This window comes from Homo sapiens, chromosome 20, assembly GCF_000001405.40.
Source record: "Homo sapiens chromosome 20, GRCh38.p14 Primary Assembly".
Classification (NCBI taxonomy): Eukaryota; Metazoa; Chordata; class Mammalia; order Primates; family Hominidae; genus Homo; species Homo sapiens.
In genome coordinates, this window is record NC_000020.11 from 32,936,870 (window position 1) to 32,962,824 (window position 25,955).

General features: G+C 40.6%; 1 protein-coding gene across 7 annotated transcripts in view, besides 1 other annotated feature; it reads left to right on the forward strand.

Annotated features, from left to right (window-relative positions):
- Positions 1 to 24,976, forward strand: part of EFCAB8 (EF-hand calcium binding domain 8) — a 102,923-nt gene extending 77,947 nt beyond the window's left edge. For 5 of the 7 annotated variants that reach the window (NM_001143967.2, XM_024451881.1, XM_024451886.1 and 2 more), the window contains 5 exons: positions 6,767 to 6,935; positions 21,552 to 21,681; positions 22,909 to 23,113; positions 23,194 to 23,292; positions 24,267 to 24,976. In NM_001143967.2, the coding sequence (NP_001137439.1) occupies positions 6,767 to 6,935; positions 21,552 to 21,681; positions 22,909 to 23,113; positions 23,194 to 23,292; positions 24,267 to 24,740 (1,077 nt within the window). In that variant the 3' untranslated portion in view covers positions 24,741 to 24,976. Of the gene's footprint in view, positions 1 to 6,766; positions 6,936 to 9,418; positions 9,819 to 21,551; positions 21,682 to 22,908; positions 23,114 to 23,193; positions 23,293 to 24,266 lie in introns of those variants that run through there. The other 2 variants (XM_024451882.2, XM_024451883.2) reach the window with 2 other exon arrangements.
- Positions 13,372 to 14,180: an enhancer, noted in NCBI's record as "OCT4-NANOG-H3K4me1 hESC enhancer chr20:31538047-31538855 (GRCh37/hg19 assembly coordinates)". NCBI's record gives its function as "activates a minimal SCP1, AML or CMV promoter by ChIP-STARR-seq in naive and primed H9 embryonic stem cells {active_cell/tissue: H9 hESC(naive and primed)}" and the evidence as "EXISTENCE:reporter gene assay evidence [ECO:0000049][PMID:30033119]".
- Positions 24,977 to 25,955: the final 979 nt, after the last annotated feature.

A 25,955-nucleotide genomic window follows, 5' to 3' on the forward strand; every position in this document is an offset into this window, starting at 1 on the left:
TGCATTGAATCTGTAGATTGCTTTGGGTAGTATGAATATTTTAATAATATTAATTCTTCTAATTTATCAACACAAGATAGCTTTCCATTTATTTGTGTTTTCTTAAACAATGTTTTAGTTTCCAGTGTACAGATCTTTTAACTTCTTGGTTAAATTTACCCCTAAGTATTTTATTTTATTTTAAAATACCTGGCTAATTTTGTATTTAATTTTATATTGTATTTATTTTATTTGTAATAAAATTAAGCATTTTATTTTATTTTAAAATACCTGGCTAATTTTGTATTTTTAGTAGAGACAGGGTTTCTCCATGTTGGTCAGGCTGGTCTCGAACTCCAGACCTCAGGTGATCCGACTGCCTCGGCCTCCCAAAGTGCTGGTATTAGAAGCATGAGCCACTGCCCACTGCACCTAGCTGAAAACCACACTTTCTGTTGATTAAATAATATTTCACCTTATGGAGTTACAAATTTTCATTTTATGGGGTTATAATCACTTACTTAGCTTGTTATCTTTTGTTGGACATTAATGTGGTTTCTAACTTTTCATTATCAAAAAATAAAAGAAAATGGACAAAACCTCAGAAAGACACAAACTACTAAAGCTGACTTAATAAGAAATAGAAAATCTGAATATATAGAAAATCTGAATGTAACAAGTAAGGAGATTGGATTAGTAATAAAATTTCCCACAAAGAGAAGTACACATTCAGATGGTTTCACTGGTAAATTCTACCAAATATTTAAAGATTTTTCTTTTTTTTTGTTGAGACAGAGTCTCACTCTATTGCCCAGGCTGGAGTACAATGGTGTGATCTTGACTCACTGCAACCTCTGCCTCCGGGGTTCAAGTGATTCTCCTGCCTCAGCCTCCCGAGTAGCTGGGATTACAGGCATGCACCACCATGCCTGGCTAATTTTTGTATTTTTAGTAGAGACAGGGTTTCACCACATTGGCTAGGCTGGTCTCGAACTCCCAACCTCGTGATCCGCCCACCATGGCCTCCCAAAGTGCTGGGATTACAGGCGTGAGCCACCACACCTGGCTAAAGAATTAATGTCAATTGCTCACAAACTCTTCCAAAAGAGTTCTCTATGAGGCCAGTATTACCTTGATACCAAAACCAGATAAAGATATCACAGGAAAATAAAACTGTAGACCAAATATTTTTATGAATATAGATACAAAAATCTTCAAAATACTAGCAAATTGAAACCAACAACATATGAAAATGATTATACACCATGACCAAGTAAGATTTATCCCAGGAATGCAAAGTTGGCTAAATATCCAAAATCAATTAATGTAATACACCATATTAACTGAATAAAAAACAAAAGCCATATGATTATGCCAATAGATGCAAAAAGAGCATTTAACAAAATTGAACACCGTTTTCTGATTGAAACACCCAATAAACTAGAAATAGAAACTCCTTCAACCTGATAAAAGCCATTTATGAAAACTCACAGGTAGCATAAAACTTCATGTTGAAATATTAAATACTTTCCTGTAAAATCAGAAATAAAACAAGAATGGTTACTCTTGCCACCCCAATTTAACATTTTATTGGGAGGTCAGTTAGGCAAGAAAATGAAATAAAAAGTATCTATATTGGGGAGGAAGAAGTTAACTATCTCTATCTGCAGATGACATAATCTTATATCTAGAAAATCCTAAATAATTTATTAAAAACTATTAAAACTAATAAATTCAATAGGGTTGCTTGATATAAATATACAAAACCAATATATTTATATACACTAGCAATAAACAATCTGAAAATGAAAATTTAAAAATTTCACTTATAATCGCATCAAAAAAATACTTAGGAATAAATTTGGAAAAGTAGTGCAAAACTTGATTCCTGAAAATTGCATAACATTATGGGAAGAGATGAAAGAATACCCAAATAAATGGAAATACATCTCATGTTCATTGATTGGAAGACTGGATGTTGTTAATATAGCATATTCCCCAAATTGATTTAATGCAATTTATATCAAAATCCCAGCTGCTTTCTCTTCTCTTTTCTCTTCCCTTTTCTTTTTCTTTTCTTTTCTTCCTTCCCTCCCTCCCTTCCTTCCTTCCTTTCTTTTTCTTTCTTTTCCTTCCCTTCCTTCCTTCCTTCCCTCCTTCCCTCCTTCCCTCCCTCCCTCCCTCCTTCCTTCCTTCGTTTCTCTCTTTCTTTCTTTCTCTCTCCCCAACTTCTTTCTTTTTTCTTTTCCTTCCTTCCTTTCTTTCTCTCTTTCTTTCTCTTTCTTTCTTTCTTTCTTTCTTTCTTTCTTTCTTTCTTTCTTTCTTTCTTTCTTTCTTTCTTTCTTTCTTTCTTTCCTCTCTCTCTCTCTCTCTCTCTCTTTCCCTCCCTCCCTGCCTTCCTTCCTTCCATATTCTCTCTCTCTCTCTCCTTTTTTTTTTTGTTTTTTGTTTTTTGACAGAGTCTTGCTCTGTCGCCCAGGCTGGAGTGCAGTGGTGCAATCTCAGCTCACTGCAACCTCCGCCTCCCAGGTTCAAACGATTTTCCTGCCTCAGCCTCCCAAGTAGCTGGGACTACAGGCATGTGCCACCATGCCTGACTAATTTTTTTGTATTTTTAGTAGAGACGGGGTTTCACTGTATTGGTCACGCTGGTCTCAAACTCCTGACTTTGTGGTCCGCCTGCCTTGGCCTCTCAAAGTGCTTGGATTGCAGGCATGAGCCACCTCGCCTGGCGGGCTGGCTTTCTTTTCTTCCTTCCTTCCCTCCTTTTCTCCCTCCCTTCCTCCCTCCTTTCTCTCTCTGTCTCTCTTTTTCTTTTTTTCTCCCTTCCTTCCTTCTCTCTCTCTCTTTTTTTTTTCTTCTATTTGACAGAGTCTTGCTCTGGTACCCAGGCTGGAGTGCAGTGGCGCCACCTCGGTTCACTGCAACCTCCGCCTCCCAGATTCAAGCGATTCTCCTGCCTCAGCCTCCCGAGTAGCTGGGATTACAGGTGCCCGCCACCATGCCTGGCTAATTTTTGTATTTTCAGTAGAGATGGGGTTTTGCCATGTTGGCCAAGCTGGTCTCGAACTCCTGACCTCAGGTGATCCACTCGCCTCAGCCTCCCAAAGTGCTACGATTACAGGCATGAGCCACTGTGCCTGCCTGCCTGCCTGCCTCCCTCCCTCCCTCCCTCCCTTCCTTCCTTCCTTCCTTCCTTCCTTCCTTCCTTCCTTCCTTCCTTCCTTCCTTCCTTGCTTTTTGGAGATACAAGGGATATAGATAGTAAGAAAAAAATCTTGAGAAAGAACAGAGTTGAAGGACTCACAATTCCCAAGTTCAAAACTGAATATGAAGTTAAGTAATCAAGACAATGTGATACTGGCATAAAGAAAGACATGTAAATCAATGGAATAGAATTTAGAGTTAAAAAATAAATTCTCACATTATGATCAATTGATTTTTGACAAGAATGCTGAGACAATCAAATGGGGAGAAATAATATATTTTTTAAAACATGTCCTGCTGGGACAATAGGGATAACTTTATCTGTATTAGAAGAATGAAGTTAGACTCCTACCTCATAACACATACAAAAATTAACTCCAAATGGATCATAGACCTAAATGTAAGAGCCAAAATTATAAGACTTTTAGAAGAAAATAAATGGAAAATACTTGTGACCTTAGACAGTGTGTCTTAGATATGACACCAAAAACAAGCTACAAAAGAAAAAAACAGATAAATTGGACTTTGTCAAAATTAAAAACTTTTGGGCTGCAAAGGATACCGTCAAGAAAGTGAAAGGGTAACCTGAAAGAAAATACTTGCAAATCATATATCTGATAAGGGACTAGTATCCAGAATATATAAAGCACTCTTGCAACTTGATAAAAATGATAAATAACCAAATTAAGATACGGGTAAAGGATCTAAATAAACATTTCTTCAAAGAAGATGTACAAATGGCTAATAAGTATATTAAATGATGGTGAACATCATTAGCTATCAGGGAAATGCATATTAAAACTATAATGAGATCCCACTTTACACTTGCCAGGATAACTATAGATAATAGCAATGGTTGGCTGGGATGTGGACAAACTGGGACTCTTACACATTGCTGGATAGAATGTAGAAAGCTGGCCAGGTACGGTGGCTCAGGCCTGTAATCCCAGCACTTTGGGAGGCTGAGGTGGGCGGATTATGAGGTCAGGAGTTTGAGACCAGCCTGGCCAGCATGGTGTAACCCCGTCTCTACTAAACATACAAAAATTAGCAGGGCATGATGGCGGGTGCCTGTAATCCCAGCTACTCGGGAGGCTGAGGCAGGAGAATCGCTTGAACCTGGGAGGCGGAGGTTGCAGTGAGCAGAGATCATGCCATTGCGTTCCAGTCTGGGCAACAAGAGCAAAACTCCAAACTCTGTTTAAAAAAAAAAAAAGAAAAAGAACATAGAAAGCTGCAGTCACTTTGGAAAACAGTCTGGCAGTTCCTCAAAAATTAAGTGTAGACTTACCATATTACCCAACAGTTCCACTCCCAAGTGTATACCCAAGAGAAATGAAAACATATGTTCACATAAAATCTTGTACATGAATGTTTATAGTAGCATTATTTATAATACAAAAGTGGAAACAACCCAAATGTCAACTTCCAAATGGATAAAGTGTGGTATGGTGATACAATGGAATGTTATTTAATAATAAAAAGGAATAAAGTACTGATGCATGCAACAACATGGATGAACCTTGAAAATACTGTGCTAAGTGAAAGAAGCCAACCACAAAATACCATATATTGTGTGATTCTGCTTAAATGACATGTCCAGAATGTCCATATTAAAGTAGATTAGTGGTTTCCTGAGGCTGGGGGAGGGAGTTGGGGAAATTGCGTAGTGACTACTGGGTAAAGAGTTTCTTTCTGGGGTGATGAAATGGTCTAAAATAGAATGTGGTGGTGGTTGCACAGCTCTGAAAATACTAAAAACCATTGAATGAGCACTTTAAATTGGTAAATTTTTATGTGAATTATGATTCAATAAAGTTGTGTTTAGATATTACTAAAAATGATGGTACAAATATTCTTTTTCACAAATGTTTTTTGTTGTTGTTTATAGTTGTTTATTTGTACATCTAGTAATTTGTCCCAAGGAAAGAGTATGTAAAAGAACATAAGTCACTTTAAGGCCTTTAATGTATACTACAAAATTGCACTCTAGAAGGTTTATACAGTTTTGCATTTCATTAGCCTGTTTTTTTTATCTTTGACAACCTAAAGAATTTATTAGTGGTATTCATCTGAGGATCCTCTAGGTCTATCAGAGTGTCTTTCTTATAGAAGGCATTCAATAAATAAATGTCCTAAGTGAGCAAAACATTTTTGGTTGATTTTTAGGTGCAAATGGTTTCTTTTGATTTTAATTAAGATGCCTTTGTTTATTAGTGATGTTGACATATTTTCTTAATCTATTGGCTTTGTATAACTTTATGAATTGTCTCTTCATGTCCTTTGCCTACTTTTCTATTGTGGTAACTATCTTTTATAAATGTTGTATAATTATTTAAAAATACATTAGGTTGGGCATGGTAGATCATGCCTGTAATCCCAGCTCTCTGGGAGGCCAAGGTGGGCAGATTGCTTGAGCCTAACAGTTCGAGACCAGCCTGGGCAACATAGTGAGACCCCATCTCTAAAAAAAAAAACCAATAAAAATATATTAAAAGATTAACTGATTGTCTATCATATGGATTACAAATATCCCCCCCAATTTGTCATTTGCTTGTTAATTTTATTTATGATGACTTAAAAATTACAATATATTTTTTGGTGTTCAAGTCAGTTTTTGTCCCCATTGTGATATTTTCCTTTGCCTGTTTATCACTTTCTTAGAGAAAAGATAAATACTGATTCGTTCTTTTGTAGGTGTTTTATGATTTCATTGAAAATAAAATCTTCAACGCATCTAGTATTCATTTGGGTGTAAGATAAAAGATAACAACGTAGGTTTCTCTTATAGTTCATCAGGTATCCTACTACTGTTTATTGAGTCATGTTTTCTGTTACCACTCTTACTATATACCAGTTTTACATACATTTGGGTTGGTTTCTGAGCTTTCTATTGTCTTCCATTGCTTTGTTTAAAATTTAAAGTTTATTATTCTGACTTTCCATACTTGAATATGGTCGAATAAGTCCTCCTTTATTAATCTTGTTTTATTTAAAAATGGTCATTTTCACTCATTTTCCAGTTCAGTAGTTTTATTCTCTCAGTGTAATGTGATTTATCACCCCATTGCTCACCCTATTCATCTCCCAATACCCAGCTGAAAAACTTTAGAAGACTGAGGCTCTTGCCCTGGCCCCATCACTTTCTAGCTATGTGGGCTTAGGCTAGTTATTGAACATGTCTGACTCTCACTTTTCTCCTCTGTAAGTCAGTGAGAATTATATACTTCTTATAAGGTTGTGAGGTTCAAATGGAATAATGTGTACAGAGGCACTTGGTAAACAATGTAGTCATATGCAAGTCATATGCAAGTCATATGTAGTCAGCTTGGTGAATTTTGAGAAAGTAAATGCAAGTTCTTTTTATGGTTTTACCTAAGGGGCCAGTGAGGGCCAGAGAAGTGCCGGGACCTATGTAAGGTCGCAAGCAAGTTCATGTGGAATGCATCTAGAACTAGAACGCTAGCCTGTGTCCCAGGGCCCTTCCAACTGGGCTCTGCTGCCTGCAGTCCTGGGTGCCTTCTAATTAGCCTGTGTAGTGGTCTTGGTAAAAGTGTTTCTCCTGTACTGTCCCCTATAGGTTGTGGCTGGCCATACCATTTCCCTGGTTCCCCCCACGCTCCTGATGACCTGGAAAGGCCATTTGAATAGTGTGGCAGACATCCTGTATGTGGACAACTTCCAGCTGGTTATCAGCGCTGGCCAGGACCGGGACGTCAAGGCTTGGAAACTCTCCGGTGATGCCATTGGTATGGGTCCTGCTGAAGCTCAGCCATGCCCATGGCCCTTCTTGTCTCTGTCCCTGTCTGAACATAAGCTGGTATGAACTTTGTACTCTGTGGGGAGGGACTCTCAGGCCACAGCAACTGCCTTCACTTAAATAATATTACAGTCTGTCCAATTATCCATTCAGCAAACGGTCCATCCATTCACCCATCCACCCAATATTATTCACCTATGTATATTTTTGCAAATCATATATCTGATAAAGCATATTCCTTTCTCTTTTAAAAAATAAACTTAATTGTTGCATTGTATATAAAGAAAAACATACAAACCAGAAGGGTTCAGCTTGGTGAATTTTGAGAAAGTAAATACATACCCATATAGCCACCGTTCATGTCAAGAAATAATTAGGGCCAGGCGCGGTGGCTCACTACTGTAATCCCAACACTTTTTTGTCCCCTTTTCCTCCTGTGCTGTCTTCCTATGTGTTTGTTTGTTTGTTTTAGTGACCTGTCTCTACTAAAAATACAAAAATTAGCCAGGCATGGTGGTGCATGCCTGTAATCCCAGCTACTTGAGAGGCTGAGGCAGGAGAATCGTTTGAACCTGGGAGGCAGAGGTTGCAGTGAGCTGAGATCATGTCACTGCACTCCAGCCTGGGCAACAGAGTGAGACTCTGTCTAAAAAAAAAATAATAATAAAAATAAAGTGACTTATGTGCCACTATTACAGTATTACAGCATTCTGTATTTTTCTATGTGTTTACATTTATCAGAAAGCTTTGTATTTTCATATGCTTTCATGTTCCTGCCTAGCATCCTTTTGTTTCAACTTGAAGGGGTCCCTTTAGCATTTCTTTAAAGGCAGGTCTAATGGTGATGAACTCCTCTTGTTTTTATTTATCTGGGAAAATTTTTATTTTTCCTTCATTTTTAAAGGACAGCTTTCCTGGATATAGTATTTTTGGATGAGAGTTTTTGTTCTTTTTATAATGTGTCTCCTTGTGGATTTCTTTGACTTTATCCTAGTTGGAATCCCTTGAGCTTCTTGAATATAGGTTTCTTTTCCTTTTTAAGATTTGAAACATTTTCAGCCATTATTTATTCAGATAAGCTTTTTGTCCCTTTCTCTCTCTCTGTCTCTCTCTCCTCCTTCTAGTACTACCATAATGCATATATTGTCCATTTGACGATGTCTCATAAATCCCTTAAGTTTTCTTTACTCTTTAAAATTCTTTTTTCTTTTTTGCTTCTCTGACTGGATATCTTCAAGTCTGCTGATTTTTCCTTCTGCTTGATCAAGCCTGCTGTAGATGACTTTTGAATTCAATTATTTTACTCTTCATCTTCAGCTCTAGAATTTCTGTTATTTTTATTATTATTATTATTATTTTTTGAGACAGGGTCTTGCTCTGCCACCCAGGGTTGAGTGCAGTGGCACGAATTCAGCTCACTGAAGCCTTGACCTCCCAGCCTCAAGTGATCTTCCCACAGCCTCCTGAGTAGCTGGGACTACAGGTGCATGCCATCATGCCTGGCTAATTTTTTGTATTTTTTGTAGAGACAGAGTTTCACCATGTTGCCCAGGCTGGCCTTGAATTCTTGAGCTCAAGTGATCGCCCACCTAAGCTTCCCAAAGTGTTGGGATTATAGGTGTGGGCCACCATGGCTGGCCTCTGTTTGGTTCTTTTCTATATTTTCTGTGTCTTCACTAATATTCTCAGTTTGTTCATGTATTGTTTCCCTGAGCTTGTTGAGCATTTTTATTACGGTTACTTAGAATTCTTTGTCAAATAATTAATATACCTCAATTTCTTTAGCGGCAGTTTCTGGAGATTTATTTTGTTCCTTTGGGCCATGCTTTCCTATTTTTTTTGTGTGCCTTATAACTTTATATTGGGATCCATGCATTTGTAAAATCAGCCACCTCTCCCAGTCTTTATATACTGGCTTCATTCAGGGAAAATTCTGCACCAATCAGCTTGGCTAAAGATTCTGGGTGCCTCCCCAATCTTTTTTGTGGATACTTTCACCAGACTTACGCATGTAAATTCGCAATTACAGGAATCTACAGGTTTATTTTTTTCAGGAGTCCATTATCTCTTGCTCTCTCTGGTGTCTATTTGCAGTACTGCAAGTTCTCTAGAGCGGCTACAAGCTTCCCCCAGGCCTCTAGAATATGCTGGGTCCTTCAATAGTCTGAGAGAGGCAAGACAGAAACCAGTTTCTTGGGTACCCCTCAAAGGCTAACATTGGATATGTATGCTCCAAATCTGCCTCCTCAAGGAGAAGCTGGAAGTTGGGTTGTTTTCTCTACTCATTCCACAGAGCGGCAGGAGGGACTCTGATAGTGTGTGCTAGTCTAAATTGTCACCTTTGTTCTTAGTAGCCCAGTCTGGTGCCTCTTCCTGTCAGTGCTTAGATTCAGGCAAGACAGAAACTGGTTAATCATGCAGCCCTCTGAAAAGTCTGCATGTTGGATGTACATCTCAGTCTTTCCCTCCCAGGGAGAAGCTGGAAGCTGGTGGTTCCTTCCCAATCTGCTTCACTGAGCCAGGAGGAGGGATTACAAGTGAGCACTATGAATTTTCCTACTGGCTTCAGTGCAGCTGGTTTTTTGTTTTTTGTTTTTTTGGTTTTTGTTTGTTTGTTTTTTCATTCATCTGGGATGAATGGTCCTGGTTTCTGGTCCATGTACTGTTGTTCAGTCAGTGTCTCCATAGGGAGAAGGAAGTTCTGGATCTTCCTATTCTACCATCTTGCTGATGTCACCCATTTTTTTGTATCTTTCAAAGACGTCTTTGACTATCCCCTAAATATAATATCTAGTGTTATCTTTTAGAAGCTTGTTTTAAAAATCAGATTTCTGAAGTATAATTTACATCCAATAAAAGCACCTTTTAAAAGTATATAGTTCTGTGAGGTTTCATGAATGCATACAATTGTGTAATTGGTATCACAATCAAGACATAGACATTACCCCAAAAAGTGACCTCATGTCTCCTCATAGTAAACTCTATTTCCTTCTCCTAACCCCTGGCAGCCATTGATCTGTTTGTCTCTATAGTTTTGCCTTTTCCAGATTATCATAAATGGAAACATACACATGTAGCTGAGTGAAAGTCTAACTTTCACTTAGCATAATCAATTTGAGATTCATCTTTGTTGTTGAACGTATCAGTAGTTTGTTCTTTTTATTGCTGAGTATTATTCCACTGTATGGCTCTGTCATAGTTTGTTAATCCATTCACCAATTATAGGACATTTGAGTCATTGTCAGTTTTGGATGATTATGAATGAAGCCGCTTTAAACATTGTTTTCATTTCTGTTGGGTAAGTATTTAGAAGCAGAATGGCTGGGTTGTATGGTAAGTGTATTGAAACTTTATGAAAAATGACCAAACTGTTTTGCATTTCTACCTTTGTGTCTTCATCAACATTTGGTGTTTGATCTGTTATTATTTTAAATTTTAATAATCTATGATTGTAGCATGAGATTTCAATATTCTCTCAATTTATAAAACAACTATACAGAAAATCATTAATGATATAGAATACTTGAATAACACTATCAAACAATTTTACTTAATTAACATTTATAGATCATTCATAAACAAACATTATTTTTAAGTGCACACAGAACATTAATTAAACCGACCATATTCTGGTAACAAAACACATCTCACTAATCTCAAAAGGATTTATGCCATACAAAGTATGTTCTCTGATCCCAATGAAACTGAATTATAAATCAAAAACAGAAATATCTTTGAAATATCCCTAAATATTTGGAAGCTAAATGACACATTTCTAAATAACCCATGGGCCAAAAAAAGAAATCCAGAGGGAAATTAGAAAATATTTTGAACTGAATGAAAATGAAAATGTAACATTTCAAAATTTATGAGATGCCACAAAAAACAGTAGTAACGGGGAAATTTGTAGCACTAAATGCCTATATTAGAAGGAAAAAAGTTCAAATCTCCAGCCTCAACTTCCACATTAAGAAACTAGAAAGAGGTCTGGTGCGGTGGCTCACGCCTTTGGGAGGCAGGTGGGAGGATCATTTGAACCCAGGGGTTCAAGACCAGCCTAGGCAACATAACAAGACCCCATCTCAATTAAAAAAAAAAAAAAAGAAAAAAGAAACTAGAAAGAAAGAGCAAATTGAGCCCAAAGTAAATAGAAGAGAAATAATAAAGATTAGAATGGAAATCGATGAAACAGGGAAGTAAAAAATAATAAGGAAAATCAATGAACCCAAAAGCTGGTTCTTTGAAAAGATAGTTAAATCGATAAACCTCCAGCTAGACTGGGCAGGAAAAAGAGAGAGAATACACCAATTACCAATATCAGGAATGAGTGAGATGACATCATTTCTGATTCTACAGATATTAAAAGGATAACAATGAAATACTATAAACAACTTTATACAATAAATTTGGCAACTTATATGAAATAAACTCCTTGAAAGAAACAAACTACTAAATCTTACACAAGAAGAAACAGATAACCCGAATATCCTTATATCAAAGAAATTAAATTTGTAGTTTAAAACTCTCCTTACAAAGATACCTCCAGGCCTAAATGGCTTCCATGGTGAATTTTACCCAAATATTTGAAGGGGAAATAATATAAATTCTACAGAAACTCTTCCAGAAAGTTGAAAAGGGTACAATACTTCCCAACTCATGAGGCAACTTGGTACCAAAATCTGACAAAGACGTTATAAGAAGAAAGTGAAAAAGAAAGAAAGAAAGAAAGAAAGAAAGAAAGAAAGAAAGAAAGAAAGAAAGAAAGAAAAGAAAGGAAAAGAAAGCAAACTATCAATTAATATCCCTCATAAGCATAAATACAAAATATCTTAACAAAATTTTGCAAATAAAATCCAGCAATGATCACATAGGGTTTACCCCAGATATACAAGGTTGGTTTAATATTTGAAAATCAGTGTAATTTATTATATTAATAAAGTGAAAAACTATGTGATTATCTTGATACAATAAAATCATTTGACAAAATTCAACATCCATTTCTGATAAAAAACATTTAGCAAAATAGAAAAAACTTTCTCAACCTGAGGAAGTGCATCTGTGAAAAAACCTAAAACTAGCTTCACACCTAATGGTGAAAGGCTGAGTACTTTCCCCTGACCAGGAATAAGACATGTCACTTCGATTCAAAATTATACTAGAAGAGTAGAGGGCAATTACAGAAGGAAAAAAAAAGGCATTCAGATTGGAAAGGAAGAAATAAAACTGTTTTTATTTGTAGTTGACTAATTGTCTATGTAGAAAATCCAGTGGATTTTACTAAAAAGAGTTAGTAAGGAGTTTAACAAGGTTGCAGGATACAAGATCAATACAAAAAATCAATTGTATTTCTATATACTAGCAATGAACAGCCAGAAATTGAAGTAAAAGATACATTTACGAAAACATAAAACATAAATACCAAGATATGTAAGTACACAGAAAAATACTACAAAACATTGCTGAGACAAAGTATAGAAGATTTACTGTTAATGGGTAGAAGACTCTCTGATTAAGAATAAAATTATCTCCAAATTGATTTATAGGTTAACTGAAATACCAATCAATATCCCAGAAGAATTTTTGTAGAAATTGACACACTGATTCTAAAATTTATTTAGGCCAGTCAAAATAGCTTTGGCAAAGGAAACTAAGATGAAGGGCTAACATTGCCTGATTTCAAGACTTATTGTGAAGCCATGGTAATCAAGACAGTGTGGTAATGGCATAGAGACAGACAGACAGATCAATGGAATGGCACAGAAAGTCCAGAGATATATCCATACATATATGGACATCTGTTTCTGACAAAAGTGCAAAGGCAATTCAGTGGAGAAAAGACAGTCTTAAAGCAATGAACTTGGATCCACACCTCACACCACATACAAAAAGCAATTCAAAATGGGCCATGCATGATGGTTCACACCCGTAATCCAAGCACTTTGGGAGGATGAGGTGGGAAGATCACTTGAGGCCAGAAGTTCGAGACCAGCCTGGCCAACATGGCAAAACCCCATCTCTGCTAAACATACAAAAAATTAGCCAGGCATGGCGGTGCCTGCCTGCAATCCCAGCTACTCGGGAGGCTGAGGCACAAGAATCGCTTGAACCTGGGAGGCGGAGGCTGCAGTGAGCCAAGATCGCACCACTGCACTGCAGCCTGGGCAACAGAGCAAGACTCTGTCTCAAAAACAAACAAAACAACAAAACAACAACAACAACAACAAAAATGGAACATAGAACTAAAGGCAAAAGTTAAAACTAAAACTTCCAGAAGAAATCGTAGGAGAAAACCTTTGTGACCTTGGTTTAGGCAAAGATTGTTTGCATGCAACACCGATAGAGCATGATTCATAAAATATCAAGTTAATAACAGTTTATCAAACTTAAAAACTTCTGCTCTTCAAAAGACACTGTTAAGAGAACAAAGATAAACCACAGACTGGGAGAAGATATTTGCAAATCCTATATCTGATAAAGCTCCTATTTAGAATATATAAACTCTCAGAACTCAACAAGGAAACAAGTAATACAATAAAAACATTAGAAAGAGGTTTGAATAGACACTTCACCAAATTTGAAGAGACTTCACTGTAAGAATTAAAGAGGAAACACGAAGGACAGCTCAACAGTCAACAGGGACAGGTTTATTTTAAATAAACCTGAGAGGGGCGGCTGGCTGAGTTAGGTTAGAGCCACACTCTCTTACAGACTAAGAGTTTTTAAGGATTCAGGGTGGGAGAATTTATCAGAGGCTTGGACTGCTTCTGTGTCTCTTTGTTGTGCTTATCTGGGAGGGAGAGTTGTGTGTCTGTTCCCATACATCTTTCTGCAGCTGCAGGCAAATCCCCCGGGTTGCTTTTAGCTTCCCTATCTTAGTGCACCTGAAGGGAAAGGAATGTGCTTCTTAAGACCCACTGTTTTACTGGAGCCCATTGTATGAGGGTGAAGTTTAGCAGTTACCCAAGAGACCTCCCCCTCCCTCTGTGCCCAAGCTGTCCTATTGTATTTTACTGTCTGCTCTTTTTGGCTGCTTGTAGTTAGAAGAGACGTGATTTCCTTGAAATGCATGAGGCTAGAAAGGGAGCTGGAACTTAAAGTGGCAGTGTTTGTCCGAGATGACGGTGCTCCTGCTCTGTCATTCACCAAAGGAAATATATAGAAGCATGGAAAACAATGCGCAATATTTATTCATTAGAAGAGAAATACTAATTAAAACCGCTGTAAGATACCATTTATCTTATTAGAATGGCTAAAGGAGCTGAAACTCTCCTGCACGGCTAATGGGAATATAAAATGGTTCAACCACTTTGGAAAGCATTTTGGCAGTTTCTTAAAAAGTTAAATGTGCCCCTATGATATGAATCAGCTGTTCCACTTCTATGAAAGCATATGCCCGGGTAAAGACTACATACATAAATGTTCACAGCAGTATTTTTTTGTGACAGCCTCAAACTAGAAACGATTCAAATGTCCATCAATAGTTGAGTTGATAAACTATGGTTTATGGAATATCACTCAGCAATAAAACAGAATGAAGAATTGATACGTTATACAACGTGGTTGGATCTCAAAATAATTATGCTTAGTGAGAGAAGCCAGACGAAAACCTGTACATATTGTATGATTCTATTTATTTTTTCCCAACCATTTACACCTGCATCTATTTATATAAAATTTTAGGAAATGCAAACAAATGTGTAGTGTGACAGCAGATAACTGGTTGTTTGAGGATAGGGGGCTGATGAGGGTTGGAAGGGTGGGAGCTCAAAGAAGCAGGAAGAAACTTTTGCAGGTGATGGATATGTACACATTAAATAGAAACTGGTTATTGCATGTCAATTATACTTCAATAAAACTGTTAAAAATAGTCATCCTACTAGGTTTATAGTGGTATCTTACTGTGATTTTAATTTGCATTCCTCTAGTGACTAATGATGTTGAAATATTTTCTTGCACTTATTAGTTATCCATATATCTTCTTTGATGCAATGCCTGTTCAGATCTTTTGCCATTAAAAAAAACTGTGTTGTTTTCTTATTGAGTTTTGAGAATGCTTTATTCTGGATACAAGTTCTTGATCAGATATGAGGTTTTGAAAATATTTTTCTCCACTACTGTGGCTTGTGTTTACATTCTCTTCATAGTGCATTTTGAAGATCAGTGGCCAGGCATGGTGGCTCACGCCTGTAATACCAGCACTTTGGGGGGCCAAAGTGGGTGGATTGCTTGAGCTCAGGAGTTTGAGACCAGCCTGGGCAACATAGTGAGACTCTTGTTTCTACAAAAAAAAATATTAAAAATTAGCCAGTTGTGGTGGTGCATGTCTATAGTCCCAGCTATTCAGGAGGCTGAGGCAGGAGGATTGCTTGAGCCCGGGAGGTTGAAGATGCAGTAATCTGTGATTGAGCCACTGCACTACAGCCTGGGCAACAGAATAAGACCCTGTCTCAAAAAAAGAAAAAAAAAATCAGAAGTTTTAAATTTTGGCATTGTATGCAAGAAATTTTTGCCTAACCCAAGGTCACAAATGTTTCCACTATATTTTCTTCTATAAGTTTTATAGTTTTCACTCTTACTTTTTGGTCTATAATCATTTTGAGTTAATTTTTGTAATGTTGTGAAATATGAGACAAAATTTAAATTTTGCATGGAGATAGCCACTTGTTCCAGCACTATTTTTATCCTTTCTCCTTTGAGTTCCTTTTGTACTTTTGTCAAAAATCAATTTGTTATTGGCCACTCATACATCTACTCCTGTGAAGTGTCTCTTTGAGTATTTTGTTGTTTTTAAGAAATTTGGTTGCTTGTCTTTGTATTCTTGATTTGTAGAAATTCTTTGTGTCCTGGATATGAGACCTTTAACAGGTATCCACATTGTGAGTACTTTTATCAGTGTATCACTTGCCCGTTCATTTTCCTGATGGCATCTTTTGATGAGCAGAAATTTTTAATTTTGCTGAAGTCCAACTTACCAAGTTAAAGAACATGTTGGGTACTTTAAAATTGTGGTAAAATATATAGCATAAAACTTACCATCTTAACCATTTTTAAGTCTACAGTTCAGTAGTGTTAAGTATATTCACATTGTTGTGCCATAGATCTCTGGAACTTTTTCATTTTGCAAATCTGAAGCTTTATAGTCATTGAACATACTCCTCCATTTCCCGTTACCTCCAGCCCCTGGTAACCATCATTCAACTTTCTGTTTCTACGAATTTAACTACTTTAGTTACTCACCTAAGTAGAATAATACAATAGTCATCTTTTTGTGACTGGCATCTTTCACTTAGCATAATGCCCTCAATATTTATTAATATTGTAACATGTGACAAGATATCCTTTCTTTTTTAACATTGAATAATATTTCATTGTATATATATGCCACATTTTCTTTATCCATTCATCTGTTAATGGACACTTTAGTTGACTCCACCTCTTGGCTGTTGTGAATTGTGCTTCTGTGAACATGGGTGTGCAAGTATCTATCTCTTTGAGACCCTGCTTTCAATTCTTTTGGATAAATACCCAGTAGTGGGATTGCTGGATCATATGGTAGTTCTACTTTTCATTTTTTGAGGAACCTCCATACTGTTTTCCATAGCACATGTACCATTTTATAATCCCACCAAACATGCACAAGGGTTCCAATTTCTCTGCAACCTTGCCAGCACTTGTTATTTTGTTTTTGTTTTTTTTGTTTGAAACAGCCATTCTAATGGGATGATGTTGTGGTTTTGATCTGCAGTTCTCTAATGATTCATGAGGTTGGCAATCATCTTTTCATGTGCTTGTTGGCCATTGTATATCATCTTTGGAGAAATAAATATCTATTCAAGTCTTTTGCCCATTTTCAAATTGGGTGTTGTTGTTTTTAAGTTGTAGGAGTTCTTTATATATTATGGATATTAACCTCTTATCAGGGATATGATTTTCAGATACTTTCTCCCATTCTGTAGGCTTCGTTTTCATTGGGTTGATTGTTGATTGTGGTTTTTGTTTGTTTGTTTGTTTTGAAATGGAGGTTTGCTCTTGTTACCCAGGCTGGAGTGCAATGGTGCCATCTCAGCTCACTGCAACCTTCACCTCCTGGGTTCAAGCGATCCTCCTGCCTCAGCCTCCCGAGTAGCTGGGCTTACAGGCCCACCACACCTCTCTAATTTTTGTATTTTTAGTAGAGACAGAGTTTCATCACTTTGGCCAGGCTGGTCTCGAACTGCAGGCCTCAGGTGATACACCTGCCTCAGCCTCCCAAAGTGCTGGGATCTTAGATGTGAGCCACCACACCCAGCATGATTACGTTTTTTGATACACAGAGGTTTTCAAGTTTAATGTCTATTTTTGCTTTCATTGCCTGTTTTTTTAGTGTCATATCCAAGAAATAATGGCCTAATCCAATGTTATGAAGCTTTTCCTCCATATTTTTTCTAGGAGTTTTTACAGTTTTGGGTATTATCTTTAGGTATTTAATTCATTTTGAGTTCATTTTTGTATATGGCATAAAATAACAGTCCAGTTTTACTCTTTTGCATGTGGCAATTCGGTTTTCCCAAAACCATTTGTTGTAGAGACTATCTTTCCCAATTGAGTGGTCTTGGCACTTTTGTTGAATATCATTTGGCTATATATGTGAGGCTTTATTTTTGGATACTCTCTTCTATTCCATTGGTTTATATGTCTGTTTTTATGCCTGTACCACACTGTCTTGATTCCTGTAGCTTTGTAATATGTTTTGAAATCAGCAAGTAGATGTTTTTGTTCTCTAATAAATTTTTGCTTACATTAAAATTACAAAGATATTCTCTTAGATTTCCCTCTAGAAACTAGAGATTTTGGCTTTTAATTTAGCTCTATGATCCATCTTCAATTAATTGTTGTGTAGAGAGGATGTTTTCTCTATTTCTAATTAGCCAAGAGAGTTAAAAAAAATCATAAATAGGTGTTGAATTCTGTCAAACGCTTTTTCTGCTTCTACTGTGATAATCATATAGCTTTTGTCCTTTATCCTGTTGATGTGGTAAATTACATTTTTTGAATTTTGAAAATTCAACCTTGCATTCCTGGAGTAAACCCCACTTAGTCAAGATGTATTATTCTTTTAATATATTGTTGAATTCTATTTTACTCTTAATGGAACTTTATTGTATTATGGCCAGGAACCATTGAGTGCCCAAAACCTTCTTGGTCCTGGACATCTATCCTCCCCATGAGTAGAGTGGCCAATGGGAATTCAAAATACCATTTTACTTTGGTTCTCTTGGTTTTACCTAAAAAAATGCAGCATTTTTCTGGTAAGTGGAGATAGAGCTGTATGATTTTGCTTAAGGCAGGCCCCTCCCTCCCCCTAAAGCCAAACCCAGATCTTATCCTAGCTGGCCATTAGAGACAAGAACACAAGTGAAAAACAGAATGGCTCCTCCAAGTGCATTTGTAACAAGTGATCCCTGCTGGGCTCAGTGGCTCATGCCTGTAATCACAGCACTTTGACAGACCAAGGTGGGAGGATTACTTGAACCCAGGAGTTTGAGGCCAGCATGGGCAACAATGTGAGACCCTGTCTCTACAAAAAATTAAAAACTTAGCTGGGCATGGAAGTGTGCACCTGTAGTCCCAGTGACTCAGGAGGCTGAGGCAGGAGGATCGCTAGAGCCCAGGTGTTTGAGGTTGCAGTGAGTTAAGACTGCGCTGCTGTACTCCAGCTTGGGGAACAGAACAATACCCTGTCTCAAAAAATAAAAATAAAATAAAATAAAACAAATTATCTAAAAAACATGCCCTCTCAGTATTCGAGAGTCCTGTTTGGATTAGTAAATGTTCTATTCTTGAAGAAACCCCAAGAAGGGCTTGAGAAGGGGGCTGGGAGCCTTCCCCACCTCCAAACAGCAAGCATATATCTTCTGTTCCACGTCCTGAGCGAGGGTATAGGTGGCCTCCAACCCAGTTGGAATAAAGGTCCTGCCTCACATGTGCAAATGCTGCCTGCCCATGTAAGGGAGGGAAAAAGCTGTTTCTCTATTTTTTGTTAAAAACGACCCTTTCAGCCCATCTCTGTTCTTATATTTGTGTGCCTCTTTTAAACAATGTATAATTGAGTCTTATTTTTTTCATCCTGTCTGACAATCTTTACCTTTTAATTGGGTATTTAGTCCATTTAAATATCAACAATTATGTAGTTGGGTTGAAGTCAATCATCTTGCTATTTATTTTTTCTGTTTATCCTATCCTTGGTTTCTTTTTTCTTCCTTTTCTTATTTCTTTTGGATTAATCAAATATTTAAAAAATTGTTGTTTTATGTCCTCTGCTCTTTAAATGGTATCTTTTGTATTATTCTTTTAGTGATTACCTTAGAGATTATATGTATTCTTGACCTAGTGCTGCTTCCTGTACAAGAATCTTACATCCCTCCCATGTTTATGTTATTATTATATATTTTATTTCTACATATGTTATGTCTTCCTATAAGACATTGTCATTATTATTTCTTTCAGCAGTCAATTTCCTTTTATGGTTACTCACATATTTACCATTTCTGGTGCTCTTCATTCTTGAGTTCTAGGATTCTGTCTGCAGTTGTTTTCCTTTATTCTGAAGAAATTCCTATTTCTTATAGTGTTATCTGCCACTAATAAATTCTCAGATTAATAATTTTCAGATCAAATTTTCTGATCAAATTTTCAGATCAATAGTTTATTGATCTGAAAATATCTTTATTTTGCCGTAAAATTTAAGACTATTTTACTGGGTATAGAATTCTCAGCTGGCAGTTTCTTTTCTTTCAGCATTTAAAAAAATCATTCAGTGGTCTTCTGGTGTTGATATTTTCTGTTGAAAAGTCAGTTGCAAGTTGCTTCTTTGAAGGTAATTTGTCTTTTTTTCCCCTGGCTGCTTTTGGTTTTCAGCAGTTTGACTATGATGTGCGTAAGTGTGGTTTTGTTTGTATTTATTCTGCTTGGAGTTCACTGATCTTTTAAATCTAGAGGTTGATGTCTTTCATCAGTTTTGAAAAGCATTCAGATATTATCTCTTCACTATTACTTCTGCATTATTCTCTCTCTCCTCTCATTGTGGGGGTACTAACTATATGTATACTAGACTATTTGACTTTGTCTCATAGGTCTCATGCCCTATTCTTTTTTTTTTTTTTCATTTTTTTTCAATCTCTGAATTCCAGATTATTTTTTTGCTGACCTGCCTTCCAGTTCACGAATCCTATCCTCTTCTGTATGCAGCTTGCTATTAAATCTATTGAATTAGTTCTTAATTTTAGATGTATTTTTTTAGTTTTAGAATGTCCATTTGATTCTTTTCTATAGATTGCAATTCTTTTCCACCATTTTATTCAATTTTCCTTAATTTTATTTAACATTATTTGTAACAGTTATTTAAAGTTTTAATCTGCTAACTCCAATGTGAATCTTCTGGAGGGCCCACTTCTAATGCCTATTTCTTCTCTTGATTATTGGTTATATTGGCCTTTTCACATGTCATATATACAAAATAAAATTAAAAAAAAAAAACCCAAAACTTTTCTGGGCTTGTATAAATGGATTGTAAAGACTTTAGTTGATATTATTTCCCCCAGAGCATTTGCTCTTTCCTCTGTATAGGGCTGAGCATCTCCATCCAGTTGGGGATTGAACTGGGTTGGGGCTGGATAGCAGCTTTAGGAGGACTCAGTTTGCCTCTGTGTTCAGTTGTCTCAAGGTTGAAATCTGTGTCTGTTTCAGGCTCCTCCTTCAGTGGGACTCTGTCTCCCAATGATCTCATTCGGCTTTTCTATACCAGCACCTACAACCCCAGCCTCCCTGGTGCTCGGCAAATGTCCTAACAAGAAAAACAGCTGTGCATTCAGGCGAGACTTAATTAATCATGCCAGCCACAGTGGATGTCAGAAGCTCTGCTGGTTTCTCTCTCTCTAAGCCAAGTCTGATTCTCATTCAGCCCGTGTGTAGACTCAGGAGTGCCCCCGAGACAAGAAAGCAGCTCCCACTCCCAGCTCTTCTTGGAAAGACTTGTCCCTTTCTGTCATCTTAGTTCACCTGGCCCTCTTTGCTTCTACTGCTTTCCAGTGATTTTTTTTTTTCTTAAATGATTTTTTACCTGTTTTATTTTTCTTAACTTTAAAAATCCTGCAGCAGGAGAATGGCCTACTACTCACTATTCTCTGCCCAGGAGCAGGACTTAATTCTGTTTTCAGTACCTACTTTTTACTCCAGCCCCATTCCTTCCCCCACCACCCCAAATCTCATATCTGATGGGTGTCTGACCGTTTTATGCCATTGCCATTTTACACACAAGCTACCTGAAGCCCAACTGAGGATCATTCAGTCACTGCCATAGTACTCTCCCCATCTCAGTTCACATGTGGGGCAGGATGCTTTAGGCCTGAGCTCCGAGTGTGTCCTAGGGCTTCTGTCTGGCTCATCCACACGTTTGTTGAGTACTCAGTGTCGTGCCTGGTGTATGGTGGGCACTCAACATTTGAGTGAGTGTGGGGGCTGAGGATAGGGGCTGCTAGCTGACCCTTGAAGGGAGAGGATAAGGGGCAGAGGGCATGGAGGAGGGGGTATGCCAGTTGTGGTTCTGAGCAGTCTGGTCAAATCACAGGAACGTTTGGCCTGAGTGTGTGGAAAAGACTACAGGATGCCTGTGATGGTCCTCGTGAAAACAGAGCAAGCTTAGAGGAAGATGGTGACTCCACTGGCACCACCCAGAAGGTCTTACATCTGGAGCTGCAGTGAGTGAGCACAGCCTGCTTGATCTTCTCTGGCCTGAGGAGGGAGAGGCTGTGAGTCTTCCCAGGTCCTGGGAAGCCTCTACCTGGGTTGGGTAGAGCTAGGCATGGGTGGGGAGGACCCTCAGAAGGCCAGAGGCTTGAGGGTTGCAGGCAGCTCTACTCCACAGTGGCAGCTATGGCTGGAGAGCCCAGGCCCTATTTTAGCCCAGCTCAGCTGAAAGGTTGAGCAGTGAAAGGGGAAAATACAAAAACCCAAGTGCTTGGATGGGGCCCTGTCCCCCAGCCAGGCCCAGATTTGCTAGAGCTGGCTTCCCTGCAGAGATCATTGCTGCATGGCCAGAGGTCCCTGGCAGAGGAGTGCTCAGGCCCAGGCCCAAGTCCCTGATCCTGAGAGGACATTTGTGTTATTTCCCTGATTTGCAGGGAGGAGCAGGCTGCTGGCTACTTGGTCCTCCCCCTGCAGGTTCATCTCCTACCCACTCCATCCACTGCATCTTTATTCCTGACCAAGTCTCCAGTAATTCTGGTTCATTCAAGAAAATGTGTATTGAGATCCTACTGACTGCCAGACCTTGTGCTAGGTTCTAGAAATACAAGACATCCAGACACAGTCCTGCCTCAGAGAACTCACAGTTTACTCAGGGAGGTGGACATGCAAACTCATGGCTGCAATTTTATGTGATAAGTAATGAGAGTATTAGGAACAGGGATGGCTCAGAGGACAATCTACATGATTGAGTGGATCAAGTAAGGAAGGCTTCGTAGGAGAGGTGATTTTGGAGTTGGGTTTTGACATTTAAGTAGGAGTCTGTCAGGCATCCACAGAATCTTTGTGACTCCTATGCTTCCATCAAGGCATACATCTTGACAGTACAGTGGAGGGACATCAAACAAGGCAAAGGCAGGGTTTCCCTGGGGCAGGGGGCAGACATGTTTAAATAGTCCACAAGGGGAGGTCCAGATAAAGCCAGATCGGGTGTCAGGTCTGCATGGTGGAGAGGACAGAGTGGTGGGAGAGTGGCAGGACTGCTGGGCCAGCTGGATCCAGGCTTTGCAAATGTTAATTCCATACTTACTCAGTGATGGACTCTGGGGAGTCTGGCCTGAGGGAGGGATGGAAGATTGGAAAGGATCAGGCCAGGAAGGGGAGAGGCTTTCAGGGTTTCTGGGAGGGTCACCCTGCTTTGCAGTGGGGGGACATCTTGTGAAGGAAAGCCCCCACACTAGGGAGCAGCGGGATCTGGCTGAGGCCCTGATATACCAGCGGCGAGAGCAGGCGGCGCTGATGGCTCTCCTGCATGGGAAGGCAGATAAGGAGGCAGACACTTGGGCCAAGCTGCAGAAGATGGCCCTGATGTCCCCGTGGGCCGGAGAGCGCCCCCTGGAAGACATTGAGGACAGCTGGAACAAGTGGGAGTCCAGGGACAAGCAGGTGAGGCTGGGAGGGGAGCACAGGGAGGAGTGCAGGGACCCCCAACTCGCAGCCTTCATTCTTGGGCGTGGCTCCTGCAGGTGAGCAAAGTCTTGGGAGCGGCGTATAAGCCCAAGGAACGCTTGCAGAATACCAGGTTCCTGTCCACCAGGGTGCCATATGGCTGGATGAAGCATCAGGTAAGGTGGGATGGGGCAGCTCCCCAAGAGGCTGGGTCAGGGGCCAGGGGATCCCATGTCCACCAGCAGCCACCCTTGTGCCCACACAGCCCTTCAGTGAGGGTGGACAGGAGCCTTTGTCCTTTAACAGGATTCTGGGCCATGGACAGGTCTGGGATGAGACTAATGTGGCCAGTTTGTTTGCCAAGGCCCTGGCTGAGGTCAGTGGTGCAGCTTTTGTCCTTGAGGACAAGCCTCAAGGGCCTGTGGGACAAGGTCTCCTTGGGCAGGACTCCTGTCTATAGCCTCCAAGCATTTCCTATGGTCTGTGGCTGTCTATTTGCTGGTTAGCATATTTCCCACCTGTGTCCCCACTACTTTGGTGCTCAAACAGCAGACTAGGGCATCATGCCAGGCCCATAGTAAGAGACAGGGTAAACGGAGTGGCTCTCCATCAGGGACAGAAAGGAGCAGGGGATGTTCGAAAGAGCAGATTTGAGCTCCAGATTTGAGATCCCAGCCTCCCCGTCCTTGTCTGCCAGGGGAATATTGTGGGAGCTCCCTCCTCCCTGTGGTCCCCTTAAGAATAAATGAGATAACACCGAAGGCCATGCCCCTGCAGGGCCCCCCTGTCTCGGGCTGGGGAGAGGCTGGTGTGAGATGGATTGCTCCAAGGAGCTCTTTGCACCTGGGCCTCACCCAGGGTCCAGCTCGAGGCCTCATTCTCAGAAGCGGGCAGTCTGCTCGCCAGCTCACAGAGTTGCCACAAGCGCCGTAACTGGGTGGAGAGCAGGGCTGGGCACCTGGCCTGGTGCAGGGTGGATGCATGGGCCCGCAGGCCACGGTGGTTAGTGGTAGCCACAGTCCTCTGGACACACGCCTTCTTGGCATGGGAAGACCTCAGGGCGCCTCCTTCCTGTGAGTCTACTCTTGATCCTGGGTGTCCCCGGCTCCAACTGGTGCCCCATTCCCGCTCCCCACTCTGTTCCCTGCAGATCTCGCCTCAGGTCTACCAAAGCCTGCACTTCAGTGATCTGATGCCGACTCAGCAGCCTGACTTCCTGACCAGCAGGGGCCCAGACCAGCAAGACCAGCACATCCGCCTGGTGGCCCACCATGTCCAGAAGGACCTGGTGCCCAGCAGGGAGCAGGCTGTGCTGGATACCACGGACAGCACGCCTGCGGCCGCCTCCTCCCCATCTTCCTTGTTATCTGTCACTGCCTCAGCCTCCAGGCTGCTGGACTCCAGCTTGCCCACCTTCCTGACGCCCCAGTTCTCCTTCTTGCTGCGGCCCCAGTCAGCCTCCACAGCCCATTCCACCCCCTCGGTCCCATCCCCGGTGTCCAAGTCCACCCTGCAGGGGTCAGTGACCCCCAAGCACATTGTCTCCTCCTTCGAGCGGCCCCCAAGGCCTCTGAAGGCCACCTTCATGTCCTCTGTGAAGGGGAGCTCCCATGTCAGGTTCTGAGGTGCTCCGCTGTCTTCTCTAGTCCTCCAGCAGGGCAACCAGGCCCATGGCGGTCCTGCATGTTCTCGGCTTATTCCCTACCAGACCCAGAGGATGTGGCTCTTCCCCCGGCCACCCCACTGGGCCTCTCTGGGGAAGTTCACCTGTCTCCTAATCTTGTCTTCTCTCTGGCCCCGCACAGAGCCCTGGGGCAGAAAATAAATGTTCTCAGCTGTGGGCATCCACAGGTGATGAGGTTGGGCTGTGTGTTCCTTGCCCCCTTAGGTCCTTCCTTTTCTGAGACCAGTCACATCCCCTGGCCCTGGCAGAGGCAGAGAGGAGAGTCCAAGGACACCTGGGCATGGCTGGTTGGCTTGGAAACTTGGTTCAGCCTCATGGCAAGAGTGAGGACCGGCAGCCATCTGGTGAGGGTCATGGCTGTTTGTCTTCTGCCCCTGCTGTCTGTCAGTCTTCCCTCATCATCAAACACTCCACCCCAAGCACCTTGTTCTGTCCCGTGTGCAGAGAGGGCTGGAAGCATGGTGGGCAGCACCCCTCCTGGCTCTGCCGCTGTCAGGCTATGGAGTCCCATGTGTCCTTCCCCTCTGGCCCAGAGGCACCTTTCCAGACCTCTGCTGGGCCATCAGCCCTCTTGGCAGCTGGAGATCCCATTCTGGGGCATGTGGGGCCCTCTGGACATATCACCTGCAGCCTGAAGGGAGCTGGGGCAGCCCACTGCTACTGAGCAAGGAGGAGGTGGGCTATAGGCTGGGGGTTCTTGGGGGATCTCTCTGTCTCAGTGTCCTCACTGACCCTCCTGTGCAGTCCGAGGCTCAGCCCTGAGGGGCGTATGTGTCGTTTCTCATCTCTGTGTTTCTCCTTCCATTTCCCTTTACACTTCACAGGGGTGGAAGCACGGGCTCCCCACCACCACTCTGCTGGGAGGTTGGGAGGTTTTTTTTTTTTGAGACAGAGTCTTGCTCTGTCACCCAGGCTGGAGTGCAGTGGCACGATCTCGGCTCACTGCAACCTCCGCCTCCCAGGTTCAGGTGATTCTCCTGTCTCAGCCTCTCGAGTAGCTGGGATTACAGGCATGTGCCGCCATGCCCGGCTAATTTTTGTATTTTTAGTAGAGACAGAGTTTTGTCATGTTGGCCAGGCTGGGCTCGAACTCCTGACCCAAAATGTTCCACCCGCCTCAGACCCCCAAAGTGCTGGGATTACAGGCGTGAGCCA